This window comes from Homo sapiens, chromosome 18, assembly GCF_000001405.40.
Source record: "Homo sapiens chromosome 18, GRCh38.p14 Primary Assembly".
In the NCBI taxonomy this organism is placed as follows: Eukaryota; Metazoa; Chordata; class Mammalia; order Primates; family Hominidae; genus Homo; species Homo sapiens.
The window spans coordinates 73,350,156-73,361,776 of NC_000018.10; positions in this window are offsets into that span (position 1 = coordinate 73,350,156).

Below are 11,621 nucleotides of genomic sequence, written 5' to 3' on the forward strand. Positions count from 1 at the left end.
GAGGGTTGACAGACGGCCAAGGAAAATGTTTATTTTTATTTTTTCATCAAAATACAACTTGCATTTTGATTAACCTTTATATTCTAAAAAGAACTCTTTCAGAATGCAGTCAGAAAGGGCAAATAAGTCTCTTTCATAGAAATGATAAAATTTCCTTCAACAGACAAAGAGATCGATGGGAAAGTCATGTTTTTGCATTTGTCACAGCTGCTGATAAACTAAGAACAAATCAAGTGAGACAAGGGAGGAGCCATTTTACATATAATTCCTGATAAGATTATCTATTTCAGCCTCCCTCTCTTCCCTTCCTTTATGGAATTTTGCATTCTCTTACTGCCTTTAATGTTACCGTCCTGTTGCATATGTATTTTTACCATGCAATAACTCATATTTATTTTAAAGAACTCTAGACTTGAAGTCAGTGGATCACAAGGAATGAGGGGGTTTGGATATGAGACCTAAATATAATGTAAAGCTTATTATGATCTTACGGTGGGTAGAGAGATGGAGCTTAAAAGGATCATAGGAAAGAAGTATTTGAACTACATTGCTGAAAGTAGCAAAAATATAAATCATTTATATATGGAAATTTGAGTAATACATTAAATACATGGTAAATTATTTGGGAAGGTTATGTAGCTCACATTTTATTATACCTTCTCTATCCTATGCAGTTTAATACACACGATGGGCCCTCCAAGTTAAATAACCCAATGAAACGGGAACATGCTCTTTTGTATTGAAGTTAAATTTAGTGAAGGCCACCCACTTTCAATAACATTGAAGCACATATATTCTGTTGTTGCTGTCCATTAATATTTATTTTTCCCCGTACAATGAAGTATGAAGCTATCGAGATAGGTTTCATAAATGACCTATGAACTGTTATTTCAAAGCACACAAACTATGTAAATTGGGAGTAGTAATTATATCCTTTACAAATAAATTCCTGTGTCCTTCATTATCAATTTAATGGAGTATTCTTTAGAGCTCAAAAGGAAAATAAATAATCATGGTGTTTAATATTGGAAATTCTAAACTTTATCTGAATAAAAGAGTGAAACCACAAATGCTAATATTTTTATCTTATTAAAAGCTAATTAAGAAATCCCTACTGGAAACTTTACATCTAAATGCCTGGTTCTTTGGAGAGACATCTGAGTCAGGCTGAATTAAGAAATGAAGCATAATATTTATAACCCTAAGAGCTATGCAATGGCTCTTAAATTTGTGATTAACAGAAAATATAACAATTCTCTAAGGGGAAGAAATCATTCAAAACCAATTTTCAATTCCCTAAACATGTTATTTTTTAAAGACCCAGTGAGCCATGTTGAATATTCAAATTAATTAATAATTATCATAAAGTGTACTGCTACGATGCGTTCTGAGATAATTCAAAGAGGAGTTTTACCTTGCAGCTGGAATAAAATTTCCATTCATTTACCTCCTAGATGTGTAAACAACATTATTAAGTCAATTTATCAAATGAATAAATACTATCATGTGTGACAGCATGGTTAATGGAGAAATTAAATATAAAGGGTAAAATTGTGCTTTAAACATGGAAACTGCATTCCCTTTGGACTGGTAAAATTGTAGCCTGGTGGTCAAGAAATACAAATCTAGAAAGAGGATGACAGAGGCTTTAACTCTATTGCCCCCAGATTTTGACTTTTGGTTGTCTCAATTTATATAATTTTCTGTTGCCTATCACTTAACACGTTGCTGTAGCTATTATTGTTTTTGATAGTTTTGCCTTTTAGGCTTCACACTAGTTATAAGTGGATTGCACTTCACAATTACAGTGTTGAGGTATTCTGGGGTTGTCTTCATTTTACCTATGAGTTTTATACCTTTGAATGTTTTCTTGTTTCACGTTAGTGTCTTTTTCTCTCAGAGTGAAGCATTTTCTTTTGTATTTCTTATATGACTAGTCAGGTGGTGGTGAATTATTATAACTTTTGTTTGGAAAACTTTTAACTATGTTTTCAGTTTAGAAATATATTTCTCAGTTTGAGGATTTCCATTTGACATTTAATTATTTCAATCTCTTCATTAAATATCTCTGATAAATTTCTGAATCACTTTTTTTTGCATTATCTTGGAGATCACTGAGTTTCTTGAAAATTACTCTTTTGAATTATTGATCAGAGAGCTCATGTGTCACTGTCTCACTATGGTGGTCACTGGTTCCTTGCCCTGTCCATTTGGGGAGGTCCTGGTTCCCTGTTTGCTGTTGTTTCTTATGGATACATGCCTGGGTCTTTTCATCGTAGGAGTATTCACTCTAGTCTGTGGATTGTTTGGGGGTTTTATTGGCTGTGTTTGCTTAGAGAATCTTCATAATTTACCTATTGAAATTCTTACATTTTTTCACCAGTGCCTTTGTTTCAGCACTAGATGATGCTTAAAGCCCAAGTTTGCCTCAGCTCCAGCAAGTGATCAGAGAGCACTGCTGGGCCAGAATGGGGGAGGTCCCCAAGGGGATATCCCATTTCACTGGAAGGCCTTGCAAGGGATTCGTGCCCAGAGGACCATGGAACACACCTCCTGCAGAGTGTTGCTGCTGAACAACCACACTAATTTGGTATCTCCTTTGGCTGAGTGACAGAGCAGAGTTTCCAGAACTGTGGATGATGGTTGCACCTCCCTCTTTGTCTCTAGATCTGTCTGCTGTCAGGCACTCAGAATATTTCCATGGGTGGAGACATTGTCAGGTCTCCCTGCCAAAGAATCCAGAATGCTGAGGATGCTGCTTGTCATCATATCTCACTTTTTGCAGCATGGAAACCATGAGTTGCAGGAAGTTTTCTGCGTGCTTGGTGCCAGGCAGACTGGGGTGAGAGGTGTCATGGGTATAAAAACAGGGTTCTCTGACTGTTTGCCTGCTGATTTTATTTCTCCATGACCTTGGGAATTAACTTATATTTGAGTTATGGGTTATTATTGGTGAGGATCTCAGTGCCGTACTTTTGGCTTTGGTTTTCTGGAGTAGGGGACAGTGAAGCCAGTTTGTGTCCATGTCACCACTTCAGAACTGGAAATCTGTATTGTACTCTTTAAATAGACATATGATAAGAATATTTCATATATTTCATATCTATGTTTTCCCAATCTGACTCTAGTTTTGTATTAATATTGGTATTTACAACGTAATGACAACACTTATGTGTCTATCACAGTTCTAATTACTTTATATGATTTAATGCTTATAATATATGTTATAAGTAGTGATATTATCTCCATACTACTGATAAGAAAAATGAAGCATATGATATTTAACTGTCTACCGTTAAATTGTCTACAAATTGCCTACATAGCTAATAATTACGCAAGTTGGGATTTAATCCCAGGCTACAAGTCTCCATAATGTATATCCTTAATCACTGTGACGCTCAGGTTCATAAATGGTCCTGCTTCTTTATAGTCGTCACTGTTTGACACATGGCTTAATCCATCCAGCCTGACAATCACCCGCTGCAGTGGTCTCAAATCTATGATTAGAATATCCTATTAAAGTAATGTGTAAAGGTAAACTTATTTCAGACAGCATTATTTAAATTACTAAACCTAATTTACTAATCACTAGTCTAAAATCATCTGTAAAATATTTTATTAACCTTTATAATAGCTATTTCCCTTAGGATATGACAAGCATCTCCAATCCCATTATGTATATTGTGAACTAAAGAACAGAAAACTTGAGCTATTGTCTATATTTTTAGAGACCAGGTGTTAAAGGAGGATTTAGAAGCAAATATTCTAAGTGACATCTCCATGATTAGCTTGAAATCCTGCACTGCCTCCTGTACTTATCAAAAATGTTTCTAATACCCTAAGACTTTAGAACCTAGCATAGGATTTACTGATCTGCCTTTTCTAGTTCTAGTCCTGCAATAATTTTCTCTTTAACCATATTCTTCTTTAGTCACTTGGCGTTGTTTCCTTTTTTTGTTTCAGAGCCTTATAAAATTCCTTCCTTAGCAAAAAGACTTTTTTTCAACCTACCTTAACTCCCAAGCAAAGCTTTCCTTTTCAAGGTTTATTGTTGTTTCCCTGAGGGACACTATCTTTGAAGACCTTTTCCAACTGCTTTGGTGTGTCTTTGAAGAAATCTTATATCTCAAACATTTTAAAGATCTACAGATTTTATATTTTGTTGGCAATGTATTATATAATCCTCATACTGTATCTTAAATGGGAAAGATGCCAGCAGCACTGAACTTGCCAAAATAATACTGAAAGTTCCATTTTTCACATATCTCATTCTATTCTCTTTTTATTTTTTTCCTTACAGACACCTAAGGTAGAAGTGCAACAAGACTTATCAAATTTTTCCACAATTTTATCCAAAACCCAAGAAATATTTTCACGATGGATGTGAGCAATCACACATCCATATTTATTATAAGGATTTGTGTCTGGGTACAGTGGCTCATGCCTATAATCCCAGTACTTTGGGAGGTCAAGGTGGACAAATCACTTGAGGTCACGAGTTTGAGACCAGCCTGGCCAACATGGTAAAACCCATCTCTACTAAAAATACAAAAATTAGCCAGGCGTGGTGGTGCATGGCTCTAATCTCAGCTACATGGGAGGCTGAGGCAGGAGAATCGCTTGAACCTGGGAGGCAGAGATTGCAGTGAGCTGAGATTGTGCCACTGCACTCCAGCCTGGGGGACAGAGCAAGACTCCATCTCAAAAAAAAAGAAAAATAAAAATAAATATTTGTGTATTGATATGTTTATTCATTTATTCATTTGCAAACATTCTCCAGCACCTAACGTACTATTTATTAGGTTTTTTGATAACAGTTAGGTATGAAATCTATGGTACCTTCTTTAAATCCATCATCTATTAAGAAAGATACCTATGTAAAAAGTAATTGAAATAATGTGCAATATGTTTTGAGTATGCAAGTAAAGGTGCAGATATAAGGATCAATTATATTTAGAAATGCAGGAATGGCTCATAAAATATTTCAAAATAGTTCATAGTAAAACCAAGCCTTATCATAGACAGCTACCATAGCAGAGCCACAGAGATTAAAAATGAGTATGATACAGTTGAGAAGTTGCTAGTGAGTCAAAGGGTGGGATTAAGTTCAACAATGGAGCAAAGCACAAGACAAGAGCAGATCTTCAAGGGCTTTCTGTCTGATATAAAAATTTGGACTTTAATTGGAAACCTAAGCAGGAATGAGTCATGATTTTTCTGGAATCACAAAAAATTCGAACAATGGAGTATGTATTATCAAAGAATGCTTAGTATTTCACTTAGTCTAATAAAGTGATTAGTTCCAGTATCAGTATATCTAATTGAGTTTAAAATGACAAGCAACAGAGACCAGGTAAACTTGGAATGTCCAAAGGTTAATTGTCAAAATAATATAGATCTGTCTAGATTTAGAGTAAACAAATTAAGTGCACTAAACACAAGTGACCTTCTGAAAGATATTTTCTACAGGAGCCACCTGAATACAATAAACAATTCATGGTCTTTAGAGTCAGAAAATCCTTGTTCTCATTCTGCCTCCATCAGTTAGTTGAGTATGACCATGGCAGATGACTTAGCTAATTGAGTCTTGGTCTGTTCATCTAATATTTTGAAGGAAAATAATTACACTATTGGTCTTCTTTTGTGGGTAAAATAATTGACATATATGAAGCACTTGTACATTGGGTGCTTAATAAAATTTCACTTCATATTGTCTTCTTACAAAACTTGGATCATTTCCCTTTGTTTCACTGAGAGGATAGGAAAGGAAATATTACTACAGAGAAAAATTTCCTATAAATTTTTACTCATCCTAATAAAACCTTTCAATGATTCTCTATTGCATATACAGTGAGAACTGTTTCTGCTGCATTTCTTACATCATTGCTTCAATATAGAAAATTATTACCCATTATTAAAGATGAAGCTCAGTTGTACCATAACCCAGGAAGTCATCCTTGATACCCAAGGCTGAAGAAAGCATCCTCTTATCCCTCCATAGCACCTTCTGTCTCTACCATATCCCCTCATTGTGCTCAAAAACGTCTGTTTATGTGTACTTATTCTGCACAATAAGCTCTGTGTAGCACAAAAGTAGCAGTCTTTATTCTGTTCCCCAGAGAATTCTAAGTATGCAGTACAAGGTCTATCATTATATAGGCTCCTTAAATACTCTTGAATAAAACAGTATCTTTAACTCTTTAAAAAGGTAGAAATTTATAAAGAACAAATAACAGATTTATATATTTTTCATTGATAACCAATATTACATATTTTCAAGATATAATTATTTTCATTCAGTTGTTTAAAGTTAATTTCCATGCTTTAAACTATGTTTAAAAGTCTATAAATGAAATTATTATTTCTCAGGACTTTTATGTCCAGCATTATGGCAGACAAGATAGCCTGAAAACTCATTCTAGTAAGAAACACCTAAAATACTAAAATGCGTGTATGTGCGCACTCGTGCGCACACACACACACACACCTATGCCTGTCTGGGAAAAAAGTAAGAAAATCCTAAGAAACTTGCCCATAAAAAAATATCTAAAACATGACTCCAGAGATGCATACATGCACTAAAGCTTACATCTGCTTTAAATAATTCTCATGATCTTCTGTGGCTTAAAGCTTTCATTTCAATGGGGTAGAAACAAAGTCTAGCTAAGGATCCTCAACAGGATCCCTGCATGGGGTTAATAAGTCTGTCAGAAAGGGAATTAGAAAACAAGCAATCAAACAAACCCCAGGCACTTTAAAGATGGATAGCATGAAACCAGTTGCTAGAGTCTGAACGTTTGTGTTCCCTTAAAATTTATGTACTGAAACCTAATCTCAAATTCAGTGGTATTAAGAGGTGGGGTCTTTGGGAGGTAATTAAGTTATAAGGGGTCTATTCACAGGAATGGAATTAGTACCCTTATAAAAGAGGCTTTAAGGGGGTCTGTTGGCCCCTTGCTCTATGTGAGGACACATAGGAGGAATCAGCTATGATGAACTGGCCCTCACTAGATGCCAGATGTGCTACCACATTGATCTTGGGCTTCCCAGCCTCTAGAACTGTGAATAAACAAGTTATTTGATTTATAAATGATCCGGTCTATTTTGTTATAGTAGCCAAAACAGATGAAGACACCTACATCTCAAATATGGTTCTGGGGTGTAGAGGCAGAGGTAACTGTTTGGGAGAGTCAATCTTATTTTCAAGTAGATTTTTCAGAGAAATAAACATGACCAGGATTTATAAAAGCAAATATACAAAACTTCAGTGTTATTGAGTAAATTTGGGAAGTAGTTATGGTTGTTTATGTAGTGATTTGTAAGATGAAGGTAAAGGCCACTTAGGCCTGTCTGAGAAGCCGTATAAGTAGATGTTTATTCTGGTTGCTGCATGAAGAATAGGTTAGAAGGGAACATGGGTAAAGATCACGAAGACACCACTAATGAGGTTCTTTGTAAATATGGTTCTGTACAGTTTGAATAACATTGAGTTTATGTGTTTTGTTTTATTTTGTTTTTTCAGAGACAGGGTCCTGCTTTGTTGCCCAGGCTAAAATGCAACGGCGCTATCATGATCATGGCTCACTGCAGCCTCAACCTCGTGGGTACAAAGTATCCTCCTGCCTCAGGCTCCTAAAGTTTTGGGATTACAGGTACGAGCCACTGTGCCCGGCTGTCATTTCTAATGAGAGTGGAAGAACTGAAAAGAGTGAAACACATCAGAGAAAAATCTTAGTGGCATAAATGATAGTATTTGTTCACAGATTAAATGCACACATAGGAAGGAAGAAATAAAACCAGGATAAGTCCCAAATTTCTGGGAAGACCAATAAATCAGGCTCATACCATTGTTATAAATCACGTTTGGGTCAGCTGGAGGCTGGGAGTATGGATGAGATCAAGATTTCAGTGGGAAGGTAAGTATATACGAATTTGAAGCTGCTGAAAATCCCAGCAAAGTTTTTATTGTGAATTAATTATTATTTTGTGGTTTTAAATAATACTTTCTGTTATCTTCTAGGGAATATACTCTTTCTTGTTGCTATTTACTTGTTTTTTAAAATATTTTTTATTCATTGCTGTCCTATAAATTGCAGATTTTTTTTTTATTTTTAAGCTTCCTTGAAAACTACTGCTGTGATTTTTATTAGATTAGCACTTAATTAAAATATTGATTTGTGGAGATTTTCCATCTTTGCCATACTGATCCCTTTCATCATAAACATATCCTTTCCTTTACTTAGGTTTTATTTTATATCTTTTAGTTATTTCTCCATAAATGACTTGCACACGTTTTTACTAATTTATTCATAAGAAATTTATTATTTTCATTTCTCTTATGAATACAAGTGTTATACTTCCTGTCTTACCTATCTGGTTATTGCTTTGGTTAGAAATATTAGCTATGTGTTTATCTTTTATTCACCAAACGTTCTAAATTATCTTACTGTTCTAATATTGTAGTACTCAGTAAGTTATTTGGTTTTTTCAATTTTTCCATATGGGCTATCATATAATTAAATAATATCAGTTTCATTTCTACCTTCTGGTCTTTATCTCTGGTGACTTTGTGGTTATGTGTAACTTTACAGATGGTATTGCCTGGAAGACAGGATTCTGAAACCAGCACCAACTTTCCTTCTGCCTTCTCCTTGGTCAGTGTGGACAGACAATCGCTGGAGAGGTAAGATCAGGGTGTTTTCCCTCCACCACAATGGCAAGCCTATACCCAACCTGAACGTGTAGATGTATTTAATTCATTAGGCAGAACTCAAAGTTACCTCAACCTGGCCGACCAATCACTCTCTGACCTTGTTTGTAACCCGAGTGAAAGCTCTTGACCAGAAATGAAGAAATGGAGTCACATTCATACCCAACCCTCTCTTGATATAACAGGAGTAGTGAATCCAGGCTTGAGAGAGATGGTAGATATCCAGGAAGTTACATGAACAGTTCCAAAGCAAAAGCACTGGCAAATACATGGACATAGGATGAAAGAGAGAGTTAAACATAGTGATATTGAAGCAAGTATAAGTTGACAAGAAAAACAAAACTGATGTACAGAAATGGAAGAAAGGGAACTACAGGTGATTAGATCAAAGCCATATCATAAAATATATGCTAGATTAGGCTGCATTAGAAAGTGAAGAACAACAATCTCATTTAATTCACAATAACAAACATATTTTATTTGTATTTGTGGTGAAAGCCACCTCAAGTTAGTTTTATAAGCAGATTGTTATATATAATGACACTATTAGCGTAACATTACTAAACAATAAAGTCTCTACAATGTTTTGTTTTTTTTTTTGTCTGAACCTAAATTTGACATGTTTTACTGCCCCTTAAAAGGTCCATGAGATGTTACAGAAATTGTAGAAGTGGTATATAATATCTTCTCTTTAGATAGTAAACATAAACCACCAGCTCACAGGGTCAACGAAATCAGGATCCATAGTACTTATACATCAGGCAAGATTAATCAATCTCTGCTCAGCTTCAAGTTACTAAAACACAGCTTGAAGATTAAGCGTAAGGAACACAAGACGCTGCATGAGAAAAGGCTGGCTCAAATTAGAATGGATGTTTAGCCTTGTGAAATTTCCATGGACCAGGTGACAAGTGTGATAATTATTATACATATGACTTATTTCTTAATAATTCAGTGGCATTTATTACATGAACAGTGTTTGCCATCACCACTCTATTTCCAAAACATTTTGGTCACCCCAAAAGAAAAGCGCTTACGGATTAAGTATTTAATCCCATTTCCCTCTCCTTGGCCCTGGCAGCTCCCTATCTACTTTCCATATGGACTTTATACTTTCTGCTAGATCTTTTGTATCTGGCTTCTTTCACTTAGCGTACCAACTTAAAGTTTTATCCACCTTGTAGAGTGTATCTGTATGTTAATCATTTTTATCTCTGACTAGTATTCTATCATATACATATACCATATTTTGTTTATTCATTTGCTTGATGAGCATTTGGGATGTTTTCACATTTTAGGTCTTGGGAATAGTGTTGCTATGAACAATTGTGTGCAAATATTTGTTTGATTACCACTTTTCAATTATTTGGGGTTTATGCCTAGGCATGGTATTGCTAGGTCAGGAAATCAGAAAGTGAATCTTTCAATGTGGTTCTTCTTCTTCAATGTTATTTTGGCTATTTGTAGGCCTTCACATTTCAATGTGAATTATAGGATGGCTTTTCCATTTCTGCAAAATGGCTACTGGAATTTTCATATGCATAGCATTGACTTTATACATCATTTTGGGTAGTATTGGCATTTTAACAATTATGTCTTCCAATTTTTGAATATGGTAGTCTTTCTGTTTATTCAGACCTTTAACTCTTTCCAATTAGTACACTAACGTTTCATCTGCTTGGTTAAATTAACTCCTGTGTAATTTAGTTTTTGATTTTATTGCAAATGGAATTGTTTTCTTAATTTCTATTTTGGATTGCTGGTGCATAGAAACACAACTGATTTTTTGTGTATGTTTATCCTGTACCCTTCATATTTGCTGAACTTACTTATAAGCTCTAGTAGAGTTTTCTTTTGTGAATTCCTTGGGATTTTCTAAATATAGAATTATATCATCTTCGAGTAATAACAATTTCACGTCATTTCCAACTTAATGCCATTTATTTCTTTTCTTGAATAATTACTCTGGGTGGAACTTCTACCATAATTTTGAATAGCAGTGATGAAAACAGGCATCTTTGTCTTTTTCTTGCCTTAGGGGAACAGGAAATATACACTACATTAATTTATTTTCTTATTTTGAACCAACTCTGCATCCTTGAGAGAAAGCCCGCTTGGCCAGGGTGCAAAATAATTTTAGTATGCATTCAGGTTTTATTTGCTAAGATTTTATTGAGGATTTTTGCATCTATGTTCATAAGATTTACAAAGGATATTAGTCTGTAACTTTTTTCTTTGCTGTCTTTATCTGGCTTTGGTATCATGGTAATGCCAGCCTAATAGAAAGAGTCAGGAGTATTCCCTCCTATTATATTTTGTCTTTTTTTTTTTTTGAAAGAGTTTGGGGAAAATTGGTGTTAATTTTTTTTAATGTTTGGTAAAATTAACCAGGAACCATCTCATCCTGGAATTTTGTTGTTATTTTGGGGGAGGTTTTTGATTATTTATTCAATCTTTTTACTTGTTACAGATCTGTTGAGATTGTCTACTCATTTTTGAGTCGATGTAGGTAATTTGTGTGTTTCTATACATTTATCTATTTCACCTGTTACCTAATTTGTTGGCATACAATTGTTTATAGTATTCTATTATAATCCTTTTTACTTCTGTAAGGCTGGTAGTAATGTTCCCAATTTTATTTGTCAATAACAATGATTTTCTTTGTATCATAACTTTTTGTCTGACAGTCTATTTTGTCTGATATTAGTGTTGCTATTCAAGCTCCCTTTTGTTACTATGTACATGCAATATATTTTTCCATAATTTCACTTTCAAACTATTTGTGTCTTTGAATCTGAAATAAGTCTTTTACAGACAGCATATAGTTGGAATATATATTTTTGTTCTATGCTGCCGATTTGTATCTTTTAACTGAATAGTCAAATCCACTTACATCTAAAATAACTTCTAA